The following is a 23744-nucleotide window of genomic DNA, read 5'->3' on the forward strand; positions in this document are numbered from 1 at the left end:
GGTGGGGTATTGCCTCACCCAGGAAGCACAAGGGGTTGGGGTATTTCCCTTTCCTACCCAAGGGAAGCTGTGACAGACTGTACCTGGAAAAACAGGACACTCCTGTATGAATACTGTGCTGTTACCAAGGTCTTAGCAACAAGCAGACAAGGAGATTCTCTCCTATGCCTGGCTCAGTGGGTCCCACACCCACGAAACCTTAATCACTGCCAGTGCAGCAATATGAGATGAAACTGCGAGGCAGCAGCCTGGTTGGGGGAGGGGTGTCCGCAATTGCTGAGGCTTGAGTAGGTAAACAAAGTGGCCAGGAAGCTCAAACTGGGCTGGGCGGAGCCCACCACAGCTCAGCACGGACTACTGCCTCTATAGAATCCACCTCTTTGGGCAGGACATAGCTGAAGAAAAGGCAGCAGACAGCTTCTTTTTTGTTCATAGTTGAACAAAAGGCAGCAACGTCCCTGTCTGACAGCTCTGAAGACAGCTGTAGTTCTCCCAGCATGGTGGTTGAGCTCTCAGAATGGACAGAATGCCTCCTCAAGTGGGTTCCTGACACCTGTGTAGCCAAATGGGGAGATACCTCCCAGTAGGGGCCGACAGACACCTCATATAGGTGGCTGCCCCTCTGGGACAAAGCTTCTAGAGGGAGGATCAGGCAGCAATTTTTGCTGTTCTGCAATAGTTGCTGTTCTGCAGCCTCTGCTGGTGATACCCAGGCAAACAGGGTCTGGAGTGGACTTCCAGCAAACTTCAACAGACCTGCAGCTGAGGGACCTGACTGTTCGAAGGAAAACTAACAAACAGAAAGGAATAGTACCAACATCAACAAAAAGGACATCTACACCAAAACCCCACCTGTAGGTCACCAACATCAAAGACCAAAGGTAGATAAAACCACAAAGATGGGGAGAAACTAGAACAGAAAAGCTGAAAATTCTAAAAACCAGAGTGCCTCTTCTCCTCCAAAGGATCTCAGCTCCTTGCCAGCAATGGAACAAAGCTGGAGAGAGAAAGACTTTGACAAGTTGACAGAAGTAGGCTTCAGAAGGTCGGTAATAACAAACTTCTCCGAGCTAAAGAAGCATGTCCAAACCCATTGCAAGTAAGCTAAAAACCTTGATAAAAGGTTATATGGAAGGCTAACTAGGATAAACAGTGTAGAGAAGACCTTAAATGGAGCTAAAAACCATGGCACAAGAACTTCGTGATGCATACATAAGCTTCAATACCTGATTTCATCAAGTGGAAGAAAGAGTATCAGTGATTGAAGATCAAATTAATGAAATGAAGTGAGAAGAAAAGGTTAGAGAAGAAAAGAGTAAAAAGAAATGAACAAAACCTCCAAGAAATACAGGACTATGTGAAAAGACCAAATCTATGTTTAATAGATATATCTGAAAGTGATGGGGAGAATGGATCCAAGTTGAAAAACGCTCTTCAGGATATTATCCAGGACAACTTCCCCAACCTAGCAAAGCAGGCCAACATTCAAATTCAGAAAACACAGAGAACACCACAAAGATACTCCTCGAGGAGAGCAACCTCAAGACACATAATTGTCAGATTCACCAAGGTTGAAATGAAGGAAAAAATGTTAAGGGCAGCCAGAGAGAAAGGTTGGGTTACCCACAAAGGGAAGCCCATCAGACAAACTGTGGATCTCTCAGGAGAAACCCTTCAAGCCAGAATAGAGTGGGGGCTAATATTCAACATCCTTAAAGAAAATAATTTTCAACCCAGAATTTCACATCCAGCCAAACTAAGCTTCATAAGAGAAGGAGAAATAAAATCCTTTACAGACAAGCAAATGCTGAGAGATTCTGTCACCACCAGGCCTGCCTTGCAAGAGCTCCTGAAGGAAGCACTAAACATGGAAAGAAACAATTGGTACCAGCCACTGCAAAAACATGCCAAATTGTAAAGATCATTGATGCTATGAAGAAACTGCATCAATTAACAGGCAAAATAACCAGCTAACATCATAATGACAGGATCAAATTCACACATAACAATATTAACCTTAAATGTAAATGGGTTAAATGCCCCAATTAAAAGACACAGACTGGCAAATTGGATTAAGAGTCAAGACCCATCAGTGTGCTGTATTCAGGAGACCCATCTCAGGTACAGAGACACATATAGGCTCAAAATAAAGGGATAAAGGAAGATCTACCTTCAAATGGAAAGTAAAAAAAAAAAAGGCAGGGGTTGCAATCCTAGTCTCTGATGAAATAGACTTGAAACCAACAAAGATCAAAAGAGACAAAGAAGGCCATCACACAATGGTAAAGGGATCAATTCAACAAGAAGAGCTAACTATCCTAAATATATATGCACCCAACACAGGAGCACCCAGATTCATAAAGCAAGTCCTTAGAGATCTACAAAGAGATTTAGACACCCACACAAGAATAATGGGAGATTTTAACACCCCACTGTCAATATTAGACAGATCAACGAGACAGAAGGTTAACAAGGATATCCAGGACTTGAACACAGCTCTGGATCAAGCGGACCTAATAGACATCTACAGAACTCTCCAGCCCAAATCAACAGAATATGCATTCTTCTCAGCACCACATCACACTTCTTCTAAAATTGACCACATAATTGGAAGTAAAGCACTCCTTGGCAAATGCAAATGAACAGAAATCACAACAAACAGTCTCTCAGAACAGAGTGCAATCAAATTAGAACTCAGGATTCAGAAACTCACTCAAAATTGTGCAACTACATAGAAACTGAAATCCTGCTCCTAAATGACTACTGAGTAAATAACAAAATTAAGGAAGAAATAAAAATGTTATTTGAAATCAATGAGAACAAAGAGACAATGTACCAGAATCTCTGGGACACAGCTAAAGCCATGTTTGGAGGAAAATTTATAGCACTAAAATGCCTGCAAGAGAAAGAAGGAAAGATCTAAAATTGACAGCTAACATCAAAATTAAAAGAACTAGAGAAGCAAGAGCAAACAAATTCAAAAGCTAGTGGAAGGCAAGAAATAACTAAGATCAGAGCAGAACTGAAAGAGATAGAGACATAAAAAATTCTTCAAAAAATAAATGAATCCAGGAGCTGGATTTTTGAAAACATCAACAAAATTGATAGACCACTAGCAAGAATAATAAAGAAGAAAAGTGAGAAGAATCAAATAGATGCAATAAAAACTGATAAAGGGGATATCACCACCGATCCCACAGTAATACAAACTACCATCAGAGAATACTGTAAACATTTCTACGCAAATAAACTAGAAAATCTAGAAGAAATGGATAAGTTCCTGGACACATACACCCTCCCAAGACTAAACCAGGAAGAAATCGAATCTCTGAATAGACCAATCACAGACTATGAAATTAAGGCAATAATTAACAGCCTACCAACCAAAAAAAAGTCCAGCACCTGGTAGATTCACAGCTGAAATCTATGAGATGTACATAGAGGAGCTGGTACCATTCCTTCTGTAACTATTCTAATCAACAGAAAAAGAAGGAATCCTCTCTAACTCATTTTATGCAGCCAGCATCATCCTGATACCAAAGCCTGGCAGAGACACAACAAAAAAAGAATTTTAGACCAATACCGCTGATGAACATCGATACAAAAATCCTCAATAAAATACTGGCAAACTCAATCCAGCAGCACATCAAAAGGCTTATCCACCACTATCAGGTCAGCTTCATCCCTGGTATCCTAGGCTGGTTCAACATACACAAATCAATAAACGTAATCCATCACGTAAACAGAACCAATGACAAAAGCCACATGATTATCTCAATAGATGCAGAAAAGGCCTTCGACAAAATTCGACAGCCCTTCATGCTAAAAACTCTCAATAAACTAGGTATTGATGGAATGTATCACAAAATAATAAGAGCTATTTATGAAAAACCCATAGCCAATATCACACTCAATTGGCAAAAACTGGAAGCATTCCCTTTGAAAACCAGCACAAGACAAGAATGCCCTCTCTCACCACTCCTATTCAACATACTGTTAGAAGTTCTGGCCAGGGCAATCAGGCAAGAGAAAGAAATTTGGGTATTAAATTAGGAAAAGAGGAAGTCAAATTGTCCCTGTTTGCAGAGGACATGATTGTATATTTAGAAAACCCCATCAACTCAGCCCAAAATCTCCTTAAGCTGATCAGCAACTTCAGCAAAGTCTCAGGATACAAAATCAATGTGCAAAAATCACAAACATTCCTAAACACCAATAACAAACAGACAAATCATGAGTGAACTCCCATTCACAATTGCTACAAAGAGAATAAAATACCTAGGAATCCAACTTACAAGGGATGTGAAGGACCTCTTGAAGAAGAACTGCAAACCACTGCTCAACGAAATAAAAGAGGACACAAACAAATGGAAGAACATTCCATGCTCATGGATAGAAAGAATCAATATTGTGAAAATAGCCATATTGCCCAAGGTAATTTATAGATTCAGTGCCATCCCCATCAAGCTACCAATGACTTTCTTCACAGAATTGGAAAAAACTATTTTAAAGTTCATATGGAACCAAAAAAGAGCCTGCATTGCCAAGACAATCCTAAGACAATCCTAAGCAAAAGGTACAAAGCTGGAGGCATCATGCTACCTGACTTCAAACTATACTACAAGGCTACAGTAACCAAAACAGCATGGTACTGGTACCAAAACAGATTTATAGACCAATGGAATAGAACAGAGTCCTCAGAAATAACACCACACATCTACAACCATCTGATCTTTGACAAACCTGACAAAAACAGGAAATGGGGAAAGGATCCCCTATTAATAAATGGTGCTGGGAAAACTGGCTAGCCATATGCAGAAAGCTGAAACTGGATCCCTTCCTTACACCTTATACAAAACTGAATTTGAGATGGATTAAAGACTTAAATGTTACACCTAAAGCCATAAAAACCCTAGAAGAAAACCTAGGCAATACCATTCAGAACATAGGCATGGGCAAGGACTTCATGACTAAGACACCAAAAGCAATGGCAACAAAAGCCAAAATTGACAAATGGGATCTAATTAAACTAAAGAGCTTCTGCACGGCAAAATAAAATACCATCAGAGTGAACAGACAACCTACTGAATGGGAGAAAATTTTTGCAATCTACCCATCTGACAAACGGCTAATATCCAGAATCTACAAAGAACTCCAACAAATTTACAAGAAAAAAACAACCCCATCAAAAAGTGGGCAAAGGATATGAACAGACACTTCATAAAAGAAGACATTCATGCAGCCAACAGACACATGAAAAAATGCTCATCATCACTGGTCACCAGAGAAATGCAAATCAAAACCACAATGAGATACCATCTCATACCAATTAGAATGCCAATCATTAAAATGTCAGGAAACAACAGGTGCTGGAAAGGATGTGGAGAAATAGGAATGCTTTTACACTATTGGTGGGAGTGTAAATTAGTTCAACCATTGTGGAAGACAGTGTGGCAATTCCTCAAGGATCTAGAACTAGAAATACCATTTGACCCAGCGATCGCATTCCTGGGTATATACCCAAAGGATTATAAATCATGCTACTATAAAGACACATGCACACATATGTTTACTGTGGTATTATTCACAATAGCAAAGACTTGGAACCAACCCAAATGTCCAACAATGATAGACTGGATTAAGAAAATGTGGCACATATACACCATGGAATACTATGCAGCCATAAAAAATGATGAGTTCATGTCCTTTGTAGGGACATGGATGAAGCTGGAAACCATCATTCTCAGCAAACTGTCACAAAGACAGAAAACCAAACACCACATGTTCTCACTCACAGGTGGGAATTGAACAATGAGAACACTTAAGACACAGGGAGGGAAACATCACACACCAGGGCCTGTTAGTGGGTAGGGGGCTCGGGAAGGGATAGAATTAGGAGAAATACCTAATGTAAATGACGAGTTGATGGGTGCAGCAAACCAACATGCCACATGTATACCTATGTATGAAAACTGCACATTGTGCACTTGTACCCTAGAACTTAAAGTATAAAAAAAAAAAAAAAAAAAAAACATAAAATGAGTTAGAGAACTGAGACCATAAAGGGCATTGGTCACTTTCCTCTGCTCTTCACACTTCCTTGCAGACATAGTGATAATAAATTGATCTTAAGGATAGTTACAAACTCTGTGGATTTAATTGTATAAATTCTGTGGATCTAATTCTGCTATTATATTATTGTATCATTTCAAGAGGCTTGCTTGATTACATTTTTCTTGTTTCCTTTTCCGTATGCTTCTGAAGTTTCTAAAGTTCTTGTTTCAAAGCTGGAAGTCACTCCTTCCCTGAATAGCTTCTTCCATCTAACATTACAAAGGAGACAAGGAGACAACAAAGTCAGACCAAAGTTCCATTTTAATTTGAAACTCAATTATTCAATTAAAGTCAGTAAATAATTTTAAGGATATTTGAGAACTGTGTTCAGCAAGGAGGTGGTTAAAATAGTAAATAAGGTGCAGATCCTGTCTTCAAAATAATGTTCCAAAGCATGAAGTGACACAAATACCCAAGCCAGTCCAATACACAGAGGATCACTCCCTGTGCACCCATGGGGGATAAGATGTTATATAGCTGCCAAAAAGAGAAAGCACTTAATTGAAAGGATTCCTGAATCTAGTATATGCAACAGTCACCTTCAGATACATTATCTTGCTCAATTCTCACAGCAACAGTAAGATAAAAAGTTACAAATCTGATCTAGAATTCAGAGTTTCTGTCTTCTAATTCATTGCATGAAAGCATAGTTTCAGTAGTTAACATTCTTCAAAAAACAACAATAGAAAACCTTCCTAGATATTGTTTTATTATTGCTGTATAGCATCAATTTTCCTGGTTAGAATGATGCTTATGAAAATCATCTCACCTGGTGGTCCAGCTCCAGTAGGTGAGCTCCATTGTCTTCACACTTGTTCAATTCTTGTCATTTTATTTTCTAAGCTTTCATTTACAGGGAATAGATTAAAATTTTCCATCTTCAGTGAGTCCTCTTTGTGTTATGGAGCATATCATTATTTCAATGAACCAAACTCTTTCAGACCTGGCCCAAGTCTAAGTAAAAGGATCATCCATATGCTCATTTTTAATATTTGCCTCCAAAATTATCTGTGAAATGCAGCTAATTTGTACAACCTGTATGTTAAGTGCTTTTCAGGCACCTGAATGAATTATATTTTTTTAAAAACCCTGCACCTTACATTTTCTATAATTAACGAGCATGAGTCTACGATTAAGTAACAAGACTCAAAAGCATTCTTTAAAGCTAATGAATGGCATAATTATCTGAGTATAAAAAAATTGGAATCTGTGGCAACATACTGTAGATTACAAACTTATTCCTAATAATGTTACTTGGTTATTTTGATTTGTGTACATTATTCCTTTTAAAGTCCATTTAAAGTACATTATTCCTTTTAAAGTCCAACTACTCTAATTTATTTTCTATTTTTACTTGCACTCTCAAAAGCCTCTTGCATTTTTGTTGGTTTTCAAAAGCAGACCTACTGTTAGTTAGATGACTAATACCATTCCTTAAATATTGACAGTGACATAATGACATTTGTATACTTGATTAATCATTAATTCTGAAATACAACATACAGGTAAAATAAATACTGAATATTAAAGGCAATACTAAATCATACTTGTAGTGAGACAGCCAGGTGGGAGGGGGTCCCTGGAGAAACACCAACCAGCCTGCACACTGGAGTAGAGCCTCAAGAACTTCACACCATTTGCAGCAGGGAGGAGCCTGGCCCCTCTGCTTCCTGTGTGGACCTGGGATTTGATCACCAGGTGGGAAGTGCTCTAGTGGAGAGACTCTGGCCAGTTTGCCCACTTTTCTCCATTCTCACCCAATAGAACCCTGTTTTGCTCACCCTTTAAACTGTCTGTGAGCCTAAATTTTCATAGCTGGGAAACAGATAAGAATCCCGTCTGTAGCAGAACTAAGGAAAGTCCTGCATCATTTTTGGCGCCCAACATGGGGCTCGAGAAGTGGTGAATGAAATGGGGACACAAAACCTCTCACTGTTGCTTCTAAGCCTTTTCATCCTGGGACTTCTGACAGTGGGGAAAACCATACCCCTACCCCCTGTGGATCCTGGGCCTTTTCATGGCCTTTTCCTTCCTTTTTCGGGACTCACTGCTGAGCAGCAGCTCCCTGCTTTGCTGGGGCTAGGATGCATGGCCTAAGGATCCCGCACAGCTGGCTGGCTGGTCCTAACCACTTCCCGTTGCAGCAGTCTTCCCCTTCCTTGGCCAAGGGGTGTAACTCTATTGGACAGCAATTAAGCTTAAACTTGTCTCCCTGGTGGAGGAACCATTTGCACAAGAATAAGAGGCTCTTCCCCAGGAATTTTTAAACTGCTTTTTTGTTCTTTCTCCTTCTCTACCTCATCAACAAGTTAGCCCTTAAAGATTTTTTTTTCCTTTTAGAAGATGTTTTTACTGGGTTAGGCCCCCCAACTATCACTGTTTGTACTCTCTGTAAAGTTTTGGTTGTGGAAAAGGATTTGTGGGACTAGTCTTTGGCTGTGGCCAATCTGGTGTGCTTTACACGTCTGTATGGTTTGTGTTGCAAGCCTCCATCTTGCTTTACATCCTGGGGGCATGGCCAGTAGCCACTTGGCAAGGCTTTGTTTCACAATCCTGTCTGAGGGGATGAGCCCTCTCAGATTAGACATCTGCATGTTTTCCTAGCCCTGTCTCTTAAAGGGCTGCACCCAGTGACTGGGTGGTCCTCTGTGTGTGTACTGTGTGTGATATCTGTAAAAAGAGCTCTAATTAATTTGGCCTAAAGAAAAACAAGCGCTTGGATCTAACATTTTTTAGAGGGAAGATAAAAGCTGTGGTATCCTTCAGTTCACATGACTTTAATCTTTAAGAAATATAAACAGCCCTAAAGACCACTGGTAAAATTCAGGTCAGATGCAAGGTTTGTTAAGTGTTTTGAGGTTACAAACTGCTTTTTGGGTTTTGAGATCTATTTGACTTGTCAGCTTCACAACTGGTAAGGTGTGGACATATGGAACTAATCACACCCTTAACTAAGAATGCAAACCTTGGCTGCACTTAGCACACAAAGCAACTTACCAAGTTTTATCTTAAAGTTAAAAATTGCTAGGAGTTAATTGAAACTACTAGAAATAGATTTACATGCAGGGTGTGTAAGAACAGTAAAATGTGTTTTTTAGTAAAAGGTTATAAGAAGGCTTGGAAATGTAAACTTTTGCCTAGGGTTAAAGAATTGTTTTGAGTTAAATTAGGAAAAAGCTGAAGGTTCAAAGAAGTGGTGAAAGAACTGTGGAAATTAATCTTTCAGAAGAGGTTCTTTGTGTAAACATATTGACTAAATAGGTTATAAAATGTTTTTGCTGCTTTAAAATTTCTGAGTCATCATTTTGGAAAAATAAATGACATGGTAATCTGGAATTCTATTTCATAATATCAAGTGTTTTAAACCTGGAAGATATTTAACGGATTCTGAAAATCAAATTTAAGTTTCAAAATTGTCTTTTTTGACACCGGGCTTTTCAATTACTTCGGAAGGCCCCTGAAGTGTCCAAAAAGAGAGGTAAATAGGATCATTTGACATGTTTAGGTACATAGGATTGCCAAAATGTTATTCAATCTTCTTAGAAAATAATGTTCACATATGTTCCAAAATTGCATGGGATTTCTAAAATCCTGATGTCTAACGATATGCTATCAATCATAATTAAGGTTATGTTAAGTTATTGTAAACCATGAAGATAACCAAATTTGTCAATTGTGTTTCTAACTGTAACTCACTGAACATTTTGCTCTTCACAGACAATTGTTGTCTTGCTTTAATCCTTTTCAAAAAATGGTTTATAATAAGCTATAAAACTGTAATAGGTGCTCTTAAATACAGGCTTCTGATAACTTTGGATATTGTAACATTGGAATACAGGAAAATGTACAGGACTCATGAAGAGCTGAAATGTTCACAAATATCAAGTAAAACAAGGGCTAACTAAATGGACTAAACTCAGAAAACTAAAGCAACCTTTTTGACTTTTGGTTTAAATATTGCTGATCCTTGTTCTGTTTTTCATAGTCAAGGAAACTTATTTTGAATGATTTACAGCCTTTAAGAATTAAGCAAGGTATAATCCTGTGATCAAGATATGGAGCATGTTTGTTTGTCTCTGCCTGGTTCCTCTAGAATTTTGAAACTATCTGTGAGCATTCTTAACTTACGGCATTACAGTTGTTTGCATCAGTGCAATAAGAATCCATTTTTCTTTTGCAGCAGGATGCAATTGGAAGAATTGGTTATTTTACCAAGGCTTTAACTAGAAGGGTATGCTTCCCTTTAAGTAGACGATCTTGACTTGCAGAGCCAATAAAAGCCCAGTGGGGAAACTGGTCTCATACCTCATCTATGCAGTCCCTGTACAGGGTTCCTGACCTGTGGTCAGTAAAGAATGTCACGTTCTAACAGTTCTAGGAGGTCCAAGTTTATCGACCTTAAGAGGACAGAAGCACCCAACTCACAGGTGTTTGAAGATACAAACCCATGGTTGGGCTTGGCTTTAAAAGTTCTTATCTGAGACTCCTTGTGGAACAAAATCCCATTAAAGCCAACCCAAAAGGCGTATGTAGAAATAATCATTCTTGCTGCACTTTATGCAAATAATCAGGCCAAGTTTAAGACTAAATTCTATTTTGCAAACCATTCAGTCCTATAATTTTTTTTTTAACAAAAATGAGGACTGGGCAGGGCACGGAGGTTCACACCTATAATCCCAGCACTTTGGGAGGCCGAGGCGGGCAGATCACCAGGTCAGGAGATTGAGACCATCATGGCTAACACGGTGAAACCCCGCCTCTACTAAAAATACAAAAAAAAAAAAATTAGCCAGGCGTGGTGGCAGATGCCTGTAGTCCCAGCTACCCCGGATGCTGAGGCAGAAGAATGGCGTGAACCCGGGAGGTGGAGCTTGCAGTGAGCCAAGATCACGCCACTGCACTCCAACCTGGGCGACAGAGTGAGACTCTGTCTCAAAAGAAAAAAAAAAGAGGACTGGAGAGAGAGAAATTATGTTTCAAAACTTATATATTGGTCACTAAATTCTAAACTCATTAGTTGTTTTTAATTTTTTGCCTACATTTGAAACTAACCCTGCTTGTTCCTATGAACCAACCAGCAATCTCTAGCTGCAGCTCAGAAACAACATGAGGGATGGGTGATGTAGAAATCCTGATAAATATTCTAGTTCTGAGTAATTATCCTTCAAATCCTGCCAGGTGATGGGAATAAATAGGATGCCCATCACTCGGAGGTTTCCTTTTGGTAAAGTAAAACCAAGGGAGCTAACCAAAGCCAAGCACCATGCACCCAAATCTTAGCAAGCATAACTATAGCAAACACTCATCTGGGTGTCTCACAAGACATCCTTTCCTCTCCCTTGTTGGAGGAGGACTCAATTCCACAGCTTCACCTTGCATTCGGCTTATGATAAGGCATCCATGCAACCCCACCCCCACCCGTGAGATACAGTTTTGTCCCAGACTCAATTCTAAGCTTTGGTTCAAAGCCCTAGGAAGGAAAACTGGATGTTAAGGATCCAGAGGCAGATAACAACAGAGGTTAAAAGGCACCGAGCAGGTGAGTGTGGCTGATTTCTGCCAATTAAGCCAACCCCAAGCTTCCTGTTTCATGGATAAAGACCACGTTAATATCCATAGCATAAATGAGGTCTAGGGAACTCCAAAGCTACTGACATTAGGTGGGAAAGAGACATAGGTGAGAACAGATAATTCCTTTTCTCTAGCCACCCCCTCCCCATCCCCCACTTCATGGGTACAAGCTGCTTTGCATGGCGAGACCTGCCAAGGTCACCAGGACTTGGGGATGCAAGGATGGAAGAGGGAAAGAGGATGCTGTTCTCTCTCTCCCTCACTTACCCCTGGGTATCTGCTAGGAAGAGAAGGGAACTAGAGATGGCTACTCCCCTCTTTCTAGATGGGTAGCCATTCATCTTCAGTCTGTACCCCTTAAAATGTATCCTGAACCCCTGGAACTCCTTTAAAAGGCATCTTCTTTTTATTCCTTTCTCCTCCTTGGTTCTCTCTTCACTGATATTTAATTGTGTCTCTGTACTATGGGACACTCCCCTCAGATGCATTTTCCAAACAGGAAAGAGTTAATTTCCCAAAGCTGAAACTGGTTGCCTTAGGACTGGGCCCAGGGGAAGGAAACCCAGAAGCCCAACATGCCACCAAAAGGGTAAAGATTTTAACTAGTCAGGCTTTTGGCCTCCCTCTCTCCATGCAAACTGGTAAAGGGCCTCAGGATTTTTGAGCTGTCCTTACCCCTCCCCTTGTTTCACTTTGATACATGTTTTCTAATAATTGGGTTTGTCTGTTCTTACCTTCAGGCCATCAAACTCCAAACAGTCATGCAACCAGAGCCTCTGAAGATGGCCCCTTCTGCCGGGAACCCTTAGATCAGCCTCTGAGGGAGTTCTGCCATTTCCCCAAAACAGCGCCCCCTGTCAGCAGGAAGCGGTTAAGATCAGTCTTCATCCTTATCCTTAATCTAACCACAGTTAGATGTACTTCTTTAGAGGGGGGAATGAGACAGCCAGTGGGAGGGGATTCCTGGAGAAACTCCAAGCAGCCTGCGCACTGGGGTGGAGCCTTGGGAAGTTCACACGATTTGAAGCAGGGAGGAGCCTGCCTCGTCGTCTTCCTGTGTGGACCTGGGATTCAAACGCCAGGCAGGTGTTTCCCCCACCCGTTTTTCTCCCTTTTCACCCAATAAAACCCTATTTTGCTCACCCTTTAAACTGTCTGTGAGGCTAAATTTTTGTGGCCTTGGGATGGACAAGAACCCAGTCTTTAGCTGAACTAAGAAAAGTCCTACAATACCAGGGAGGTTTACATTTATCAATAAGAACATAAAAACATATGGGCAGTAATAAAATAAATTTCAACATGCCAACTATAACCACCGATTGTTTGTATTCTGCAGGAGAAGAGCACAAGAAGAAATGAGCTTAATTACAGCATAAACAATTTTAGTCATATATTAAATAGGTTCCTGATACTAAGCTCTTAAAATGGATATAAACAAGATGTGGTAGAATTTGAAAAATAGGTTACAATCACAGTAGTAGGTAATGTTTGAGAGTTTCTCCACCTGCAATATTGTATCTTTTATAATAGTTAAACACTGTGGACTTCTAAATTTAGCAATTTTTTCAGAGTTTAAATAAACCCTTTTTAAAAATACAACGGGATCTTTCTTTCATGCTTTGTTAGATCTTAAGGATGACTATTTAAAACAGAAATCTTTCAACCTCATTCAGATATAGTGCACTACAGCTACTAACTAGGAAACAATGAGAAAAGACTTTTCTTCACTTTAAGTTACAGATACTGCAAGTCTTTCCTTCAAAACAGGAGACAGTCCATCTGAAGCTAGTAGTAGATGCATATGGAGCTCAGGAGACGTTACCTTAAGTTGAAGTCTTCCACATGATCTGATGGGGACTGAGGTGAACAGGACCCTAAAGCATAATTGGTCAGAAGAGTGGGAGAGGTTGGCCGGGCACGGTGGCTCACGCCTGTAATCCCAGCACGTTGGGAGGCCAAGGCAGGCAGATCATGAGGTCAGGAGATGGAGACCATCCTTGCTAACACAGTGAAACCCTGTCTCTACTAAAAGTACAAACAAAATTAACCGGGCGTGGTGGCAGGCACCTGTAGTCCCAGCTACTCGGGAGGCTGAGGCAGGAGAATGGCGTGAACCTGGCAGGCGGAGCTTGTAGTGAGCCAAGACAGCGCCATTGCACTCCAGCCTGGGCAACAGAGTGAGACTGCCTCAAAAAAAAAAACAAAAAACAAAAAAACGGTGGGAGAGGTTGAACAAAGTTTGACCACTGCACATGTGTGGTCATGTTCTTGAAAACTCTGCACAATCTTAATGCTCCCTTGTTATTGTCTCATTATTAGAGAGCATCACCTATATTACCTTTGAGGTAGGTACTCACATTTTTAATTTTATGTGGCATTGATGACTAATTGTCCACCAAAAATTTTCCCCTCTCTATTTCAGAGCATGGTGTTGATGACGCGGGGAGGTGGCTGCACAATTAGAGATACACTTCCTAGCTACCCTGGATTCAGGTTTGTCCATGTGCTAGCCCCCACCAAAGGAACTTGAGAAGAGATTGTGTCACCTCCATGCTGAAAGCATTTAAGCAGCAGATAGATCTGAGATGGAGAACTCAGAGGCACCAGAGTATGGTGGAATCAAAAGGTGGAAAGAGCCTGGGTTCCCTGAATGATTCCATGGAGAAAAACTGCCCACTAATCAGAAATATTCATGTTGGACTCAAAGAAGTAAGAAATTAAAAATTTGGTGTTTATTCATTGGAGCAGCTAAAGTAAACCTATAAATCCAAATCCAAAAGTAAAGTAAAAGAAAATTTGACATATTGGAGTTTTTAAAAATTCCTGGCTATGGAAAGGTTTGAGAAATAGTTATAATCTTAAAATACATGGGCTGGTCTCATAATTAAAATGCTATAACCATTGAAAGTCATCTCATTAGTCCAAAACATTTAATTAATATTAATAGTCACATTTTTCCTAAGTATTAAAAGTTACTGGAACAAGTTGGGGGTCTCTTGTTGAAACAAATTATCAGAATAAAGGAAAAACTTAATTTACCAACTGAGAAATTGAAAGACATTAAAAGCATAGATGGAGGTGAAAGTGAGAGAAAGGTATGAAGTACAATGGGTGTTTTTCTAGATCAGAAGTAGTCAGGCGAGTTATTCCATTTCCATTTTCTCATTGAAATGTTTAATATCTATTTTGTTTATCTGTTAAAAGGTCACGTCAGAAAAAAAGTTACATCTCTTTAAAAACATTCAAGAACTAAGAGAAGCAAATCAGTATCATTGTTAATAAATTAGAATAATGAGAACAGGTCTGTATATTGAAGGATAATAAATTAATTTCATTTATCTTTAAGATTAGATTTGGAAGTTCAAGGAAATTTGTGATTACACATTTTAATATAGATATATTAATAGAAATAGAAGTTTAGAAACAAAATGAGAGATAAGAATTAAATGGATGACATCTTTAAGAACTGTCTAAGTTGACATTGTAATGTAAGAAATGCATCTCTGTTTAGAGAATAAGAATGGACAGGTTTTCTTCAATATAAGGAGCAGGTCTTTTTAAAAGGTCACTTAACTGTATATTTTTTGAAATATATCCAAGCTGCTAAGTAATTATGTGTAATATTTTTAATAGACCATTTATTTTTCATAAAGTAAAATTAATATATTTATAAGCTGAAAGACCATTTTAATTGTGTTTTGATTCATTTCTAAGAATTTCTATAGCAACTGTCACCATAGTTTTCTGATTTTCAGACAAATGTATTGAAAATTTAGAAAAATCTTTCAGTAAGTGGAAATTTTCACTCTGATAAAATTAAAAGATGATGAATTATAGAAAGAAACTCAAGATGTATTTTTAAAAAATGTTTGCTTAAATGAAGTAATTACCTTGGGAAAATATTTCCAGATATTCCAAAAAGATGACTAAGAAATGAAATGTATCAGAGGAATGACTTGGTTATCTGCATTCTTTGAGGCAATTCATGAACTCGATTTCATCTGAGGAATGCCATGCACTTAACTCTCTGGCCTGAAGACTCTAATTATCTATTTGAGGGATCTACCTGGCCCACTTAACAGCTTCAGTTTGGGCCCAATTAGGAAGAGTAAGAGAGGCATCTTATAGATTTTCCCTACTCACCAACATACATGCCAGCCATGCCAGGACTTTGATGGTAGCAGGCTAAGCCATGTCCCACACTGCCAAGATGTTCCTATGCCCAACCCAAGCTATTTACCTGGCTCACTGGCCCCTGGTTCTCTTTGCCATCTCTTCTCCCCGCTAAGGCCAGGTCCCTTTTCAACCTTGTGTCTAATACTCCACCAAGGTCTCACCCAAGTCTGGGCTGTCCCTTCTGTGCCTAGAACAGGTCGTTGCCATCCAATACCTGGCACTGCATAATATATAAATGGGACAATTCAAAAGCCAAAGGTGAGATACTAGATCATTTCTAACACATTAGAATGCCAAAATCAGGTTTACGTCACTTCCATTCAGAAACACGAAGACTAACAACAAATAATAACAAATACTGAAGACTAAAGATAACAGTAAAATAATCAGTTTATAATACTTATAATTATAAAAATTAAGTTTTAAGAATTTTTTTTAATTGAAAGGAAAGCATCAATAGAAATGAGATATATTTCAATTAATAAAATATAAAAAACAGAATTCCAAGAGCACAGAAATTTACAAAATACAGAAAACAGAAAACAAGATGTCTAAAGTAAGAAATTAAATTTTGCTTTTTTCAACCAAAATCCTTATGTAGTCATGCCTTGCTTAACAGCAGAATATGTTCTGAGAAATGTATTGTTAGGCAATTTCATCATTGTGCCAACATCATAGAGTGTATTTATGTAAACTGAGGTGGTATAGCCTACTATTCACCTAGGCTCTATGGTACAGCCAATTGCTCCTAGGCTACAAATCTATATAGCATATAACTGAACTAAGTACTACAGCCAATTGTAACACAATTAAGCATTTGTATATCTAAACATATCTAAACATGGAAAACGTACAGTTAAAATATGATATTATAACCTCATCAGACCACCATGGGATATGCTGTCCATCATTGATCAAAATGTCATTATGTGGCACATGACCATACTTCATATGCCTTTTGTCTCACAAATTCACTTCTAGAAAATTATTCCGGCCAGGCACGGTGGCTCACGCCAATAATCCCAGCACTTTGGGAGGCCAAGGCGGGCAGATCATGAGGTCAGGAGATGGAGACCATCCTTGCTAACACAGTGAAACCCTGTCTCTACTAAAAGTACAAACAAAATTAACCGGGCGTGGTGGCAGGCACCTGTAGTCCCAGCTACTCGGGAGGCTGAGGCAGGAGAATGGCGTGAACCTGGGAGGCAGAGCTTGCAGTGAGCCGAGATCATGCCACTGCACTCCAGCCTGGGTGACAGAGCGAGACTCTGTCTCAAAAAAAAAAAAAAAAAGAAAGAAAGAAAGAAAAAGAAAAAGAAACTTATTCCAAAGAAATAATGATTGATGTGTCAAAGATTTACCTACAAGGTCATTCACTGCAGTTTTGTTTACTAATGCAAAAAATGGAAATAATGTAGTCAAAGAAGTATAAAAAATGATACAAGTGGGATACTGTATGCCATTGAAAATATTTTCATAACCTATGTGAAATGATAAAAAATTCAGATTTTATTAATAAAAAAGCACCAAAAATAACTAATGTCATATTTATAATACTTCTTTTGCTTGATAAATCAATATATAAGTATGTGTGTGTACAGTAGTCCCCTCTTGTCCATGAGGGCTATGTTCTAAGACCCCCAGTGGATGCCTAAAACCATGGATAGCACTGAACTATGTTTTCTTCTAGGTATACATGCTTATGATAAGGTTTAATTTATAAACAAGGAATAGTAGAGATTAGAAACAATAACAAATAATAGAATAGTTCCAACAAGATACTGTAATAAAAGTTATGTCAATCTGGCCTATTTCTCTCTAAAAATATCTTACTATACGGTACTCATCACAGTTAACTGAAACTGCAAATTGCAAAATCACAAAAAAGGGGGACTACTACATATACTTGTATGTGTATATATCTGTGTGTGTATATATATGTATAAATGGAAAAGTATAAATCAAAATATTAAGAACTAGGAAGGTATTGCTTATTTTTGTGTAATTGATCCATAATTCCTAATTTTTCTGCAAGAAACAGTTTATTTTTGCAACAAGAGTAAAAATGTATATATAATTTTAGATTCATTTCATAAAGTTTTAAAAACCTATTTACAAGAAATGCATATAAAAAGTAAAGCTTAAAAATACAAAGATAAAAAAGAGTTTAGAGGTAAATAAAAACAAAAAGTAATCAGAGATAAAGCTGTCATTTTCACAAAGGCAAAGTTATGTGAGTTAACAAATATTTATTTAACAATATTATACGGCAAATAAAATCAGATTTTTTCTTAATATTTTATTATATTAATGAAAATCTTATAATACAATATCAAGCAAAAAAGAACCCTACCAAATATTAGAATATCTCAATATTTAGCTCTTGAAAATTAAAATTTTTAATGTGGTATTGGCCTTCTCTGTGTGTGTGTGTGCACATGTGTGTGTGTGTGTGTACTTTTCTTGCTGTTGAACACCTACTGTTTGTTAATGTCCAATTACATCACCAGCACTGGCTTTGAGAGCAAAAGGATGAAGACAAATGCAATCTATCAACCTTTTAATTTGCTAACATTTCTTAAGAAAGACTAATAACCCTTAATATTCATTTGTTCAATAAACAAACTATTTATATGAATGGAAGGTCAACACAACCTGAGACTTTTTTCATGCGTTCTGTCAGATTTCAATGGCTGCTGAAGCTCAGCTGTAAATCACAAACAAAAGTACACCCATATTTTAAAACATGGACTTTATAAATAAAAGAAATCACTTAACATGATATGTATTTGTCAACATCTACCTTCCTTAGCCTGGATCAATCACTGTGGTCTGGCATTTGAAAGCCTAAATTGTGGGGCAATGCTGATCATACTAACAGCATAATAGGCTCAAAACCATGATCAGATGAGGGCATCAGTAAAACTTATTCCCTACATAGTATGACAAGCATTATCTCTCAGAATCAGTGTGTCTACTCAATTGTAGCCCTCCTTCTCAGTCCCTGCTGTATTTATCCAGCCTTCACATTTTAGTTTTTTCTTGTTTTCTGCTCTGTGCTGCAGTTTGTTTCCCTATAATCTTGACCCAGTTGGTCATGACCTGATATCTACATATTGGAGGCTGCTTCCACCATCATGTACCTCTTGATGCTAGCAGAATATGGCTCCATAAAGTGCAGACTACCAACTCAATAACTGTAATGCACTGTATTGGCCTGTATCAATATGGCTGCAACCTGGACATTAGAGATGTTAGGAATCCAGGTTATGGAGTCAAACTACTGATATCTAGTCCTATCTTAGCTGCTTACAAATTGCATAGAAAAATGAGTCATTTAACTTCTCTAAGCCTGTGTCTCCATCTGTGAGCATATCTCTAGGGGGTTATTTTGAGAATTAAATGAGATTGCATAAAAGGATCCTGACATATGGCCAGCCCTTGCTAATTGGATCTAGGAGTAGTACATTGGAGGATAGCGAAGACTATAAGGCTATTGAGATAATGAAGAATGAAGACAGACTCCAGTCTCTCTGTTCAAGAAGGAGGCCTCACAGTAGATGATTGAATAGAAAGGATTGGGTATAGAGGTGCAAATCTGAAACTAAGTGCTATGATGATGATTCAAGGATAAATCTTGGTCAAATAAAAAGCTATAAGCCAAGTAAGAAGAGATTGAATTAGTAATAAAAATTCTGCCATCAAACAAAAGTCTGGGACCTGACAGTTTCACTACTGAATTCTGTCAAATATTTAAAGAAGACCTAATACAAATTCTTCAAAAATTGAAGAATGAATATTTTCAGATTCATTATATGAGGCCAGCATTACCCTGATATCAAAACCAAAGAAAGTACAAAAAAGGAAAACTACAGGCCAATATTCCTGATTAACATAAATGCAAAAACCCTCAGTAAAATAATATCAAACTGAATTCAACAGCACGATCAAGTGGAATTCACCCCAGGGATGCAAGTATGGTACAACATACATAAGTCAATAAATGTGATATGTCACATTAACAGAATGAAGTACAAAACATATGATCACTTCAATAGATGCAGAAAAAATATTTTAAAAATCCAACTTCCTTTTATGCAAACAAACAAATTAGGTATAAAAGGAATGAACCTCAACAAAATAAAGGTCACATATGACAAAACTCCAGGTAACATCATACTCACTGGAAAAAAGTTGAAAGCTTTTTCTTTAAGATCCATAACAAGAGAAGGATGCTCATATTTACTTCTATTTAACCTAGTACTAGAGTGCCTAGCCAAAGCAATTAGTCAAGAAAAGGAAATAAAAAGTATCAAATCAAAAAGGAATAACTTAAATTGTCCCTGTTTGCAGGTGACTTGTTCTTACATATTGAAAATCCTGAAGACTCCACCCCAAAACTATTAGAACTAGAAAAACAATTCAGACAAGTAGCAGAATACAAAATCTACATACAAAAATTAGTAGCACTTTTGTACACTAACAGTGAACTATCCAAAAAAGAAATCAATTGTATTTATAATAACTACTAAAAAATAAAATGATCATGGCTGGGCGTGGTGGCTCATGCCTGTAATCCCAGCACTTTGGGAGGCCGAGGTGGGCAGATCACGAGGTCAGGAGATTGAGACTATCCTGGCTAACATGGTGAAACCCCATCTCCACTAGAAAATACAAAAAAAAAAAATTAGCCGGGCGTGGTGGTGGGCACATGTAGTCCCAGCTACTCAGGAGGCTGAGGCAGGAGAATGAATGTGAACTCAGGAGGTGGAGCTTGCAATGAGCGGAGATTGCGCCACTGTGCTCCAGCCTGGATGACAGAGCAAGACTCCGCCTCAAAAGAAAATAAATAAAAATAAAAATAAATAAAATGATCATTAATAAATTTAACTAAGAGGTGAGAGATCTGTACACTGAAACCGTAAAATATTGATGAAAGAACTTTAAAATGACACAAATAAATGGAAAGATATCCTGTGTTCTTTGATTGGAAGAATTAACATTGTTAAATTGCTCATAGTACCCAAAAGATCTACAGATTCAATTGAATCTCTATCAAAATTTTAATATAATTCTACACAGAAATAAAACATAATCCCAAAATTCATATGACACCACAAAGACCCCCAGTAGCCAAAGTAATCTGAAACAAAAAGAACAAAGCTGAAGGCATCATACTACCTGACTTTAAAATATGCTGCAAGCCTGTAGTAACCAAAACAGCATGGTACTGGCATAAAAACAGACACAGAGACCAATGAAGCAGAAAGGAGAGCCCAGAAATAAATTCACACATTTACAGCCAACTAATTTTGGACAAAGGCACTAAGATTATACAATAAAGCACAGTTCTTTAATAAGTGGTATTGGGTAAACTAGATGTCCACATGAAGAAGAATGAAATTAGACCTTTCTCTCTCATCATAAACAAAAATCAACTCAAAGTGGATTAATGACTTAAATGTAAAACCAGAAATTATAAAACTACTTGAAGAAAATATAGGGGAAAAGTTCCATAACATTGGTCTGGGCAGTAATGTTTTGGATATTACCCCAAAAGCACAGGCAGCAAAAGCAGTAGCCATAGCCATGGCTATTATCAAAAATAAGAAAGATAACAAGTGTTGGCCAGAAGATGGAGAAAAGGGAACCCTGTATCCTGTTGTTGTGGATGTAAATTAGTACAGCCTTTACTGGGAAAAGTATGGAGATTCCTCAAAAAATTTGAAGATACAGGAGCCCCACTTCTCCAAAGTTGAACTTTCTGTGGTTTCAGTAGCTGGTGGTCAAGTATAGTCAAAATTTTAAGTAAAACATTCCATAAATAAACAATTCATAAGTTTGAAATCGCATGCTTTGTATACACATACAAACGGTGTATATGCTACTTGCCCATTAATCACTTAAGAGTCACCTAGTAGCCATCTAAGTTATCAGATCAAAAAAACATAGTATGTGTAGGGTTTGGTGCTATTTGTGGTATCAGACGTTCACTGGTGCCTTGGAACATGTCCTGCAGATAAGGGAGGACTGCTGTAGAACTACCATATGATCCAGCAACCCCACTTTTGGTTATATATGCAAAATAATTAAAATAAAGATCCCAAAGAGGTATCTACATTTCCATGTTTATTGCAGCATTATACACAATAGTCAAGGTACTGAATCAACCTAAGCAAATGTCCATCAGTGGATAAATAGGTGAAGAAAAAATGTGGTATTATACACAATGATATACTAGTCAGTCATAAAAAAGAAGGAAGTCCTGTCATTTGTGAGGACACAGATGAACCAGAAGGAAATTATGTTAAGTGAAATAAGTCAGGCACAAAAAAAACTAATACTACATAAATTTCAGTCATATGTAGAATAGAAAAAAGTTGATGTCATGGAAGAAGAGAGTAGAATGGTGACTATCAAGGGCTGCGGTGGTTTGGGGCTGGGATTGGGAAGATGTTGTTAAAGGATACAAAATTTCAGTTAGATAGAAGAAGTATGTTCAAGAGATCATTACACAACATGGCAACAATATTTAATAATATATTGTATTATTAAAAAATGCTAAGAGAGTAGATGTAAACTGTTCTCACCACCAAAATGATTACTATGTGAGATAATGCACATGTTAATTAGTTAGAATCAGTCATTCCACAAATATGTATATACTTCAAAACATGATGCTCTACATGGTAAGTTCATACAATTTTATCTATTAATTTTTTTAAAGAAAGAGGGGAAGCTAGAAGCCTAGATAATTAGACATACAGTCAGTTACAGGGAAAAAGCAAGACTACCCTAATCTTAATGTAAATTTACCTAAAACATTAAACTAGCTCTTAAATTTTGCCCAGTGTGGAAGATAATTATTTCTAGGGCACTAGATGGGGAAAAGAATATAGATGTAGGTAAAAACACCAAAGTTTTGGGCGGTTGCAGGCTTGTCATATGGAAAATCAGAGGATCATTATAACCACCTTTTCTCTTGAACCATATAAATCTATACTAAGGCCTGGCGATCCACCAATCTCCCTAAAGTGCAGCTATCATCAGCCAATTTGTCTCTCAAAGCCCTGAATGGATTACAGAATTACATACAACCTTTTCAGCACAACATCATATGACCCAACTTTCCTTTGCAGCCTTCATCTCAATATAGTCCTATGTGTACCTAGTGCTCCAATGAAATGGATTCTGAAACACACTGTGTATTTTCCTGCCTCCAATATTTTGCTCTTACAATGCTTTTTCCTCTGGGAATCCTTCCCACCTTATAGACTTGTTGCAACTGGCTCCTTCAAGGCTCATCTCAAATGCAATTTCATTGTATGGTGCTACAATACCAATTCAGTGGAATTTGTAGGTCCAGAAACCAAGGGATAAAGTAGAAGTTGTCCCACTTACTATTATTGCCAGTGACACTTGGGAAATTTGTGCATATCGCCCTCATAGGTTTAGACTTAGTAGGTTTGGAGGTCTTAGTTCCAAGATAGTAACACTTCCACCAGGGGGCATAATAAAATTCCCATCGAAGTGGTTAAAATTTCATTTTACTGAGGTGTAATTTACATACTGTAAAATTTACCCTTTTACTGTATAATTTGACTAGCTTTATCAAGTATATTAATTGAGTAACCACTAAATCAAGATATAGAACAATTCCATCACCCCAAAATATTGCCTCATGCTCCTCTGAGGTCAACTCCTACTCTATTCTCGATGCCTAGCAACCACTGATAATATTTTCTGTCCTATGGTTTTGTCTTTTCCAGAATGGAATCATGAAACATGTAACCCTCTGAGTCTGATGTCTTTCATTTCCCATACTGTATGTTGTTAAATATATCAGTAGTTAATTCCTTTTTATGCTAAGTAGTATTCCATTG

The 23744-nt window shown here is 37.9% G+C and overlaps 1 protein-coding gene and 1 long non-coding RNA gene across 14 annotated transcripts in view; one reads left to right on the plus strand and one right to left on the minus strand.

Moving 5' to 3' along the window:
• Window positions 1–14341, plus strand: part of LOC101927613 (uncharacterized) — a 100791-nt gene extending 86450 nt beyond the window's left edge. The window contains exon 3 of one of the 2 annotated variants that reach the window (XR_007058285.1): window positions 14108–14341. This is a non-coding gene — a long non-coding RNA (uncharacterized LOC101927613). Of the gene's footprint in view, window positions 1–12425; window positions 12502–14107 lie in introns of those variants that run through there. The other variant, XR_001741432.2, reaches the window with a different exon arrangement.
• INPP4B (inositol polyphosphate-4-phosphatase type II B) overlaps window positions 1–23744 on the minus strand; it is an 823376-nt gene that overhangs the window by 625198 nt on the left and 174434 nt on the right. Inside the window, exon 3 of one of the 12 annotated variants that reach the window (XM_047416359.1) lies at window positions 12420–12539. The exons of the other annotated variants lie outside the window; for them this stretch is intronic. The gene's annotated coding sequence lies outside the window, so the exon portion shown is untranslated. The remainder of the gene's footprint in view (window positions 1–12419; window positions 12540–23744) is intronic. 12 annotated transcript variants of the gene reach the window in all.

The sequence above is a fragment of the Homo sapiens genome, chromosome 4 (genome assembly GCF_000001405.40).
Source record: "Homo sapiens chromosome 4, GRCh38.p14 Primary Assembly".
In the NCBI taxonomy this organism is placed as follows: domain Eukaryota; kingdom Metazoa; phylum Chordata; class Mammalia; order Primates; family Hominidae; genus Homo; species Homo sapiens.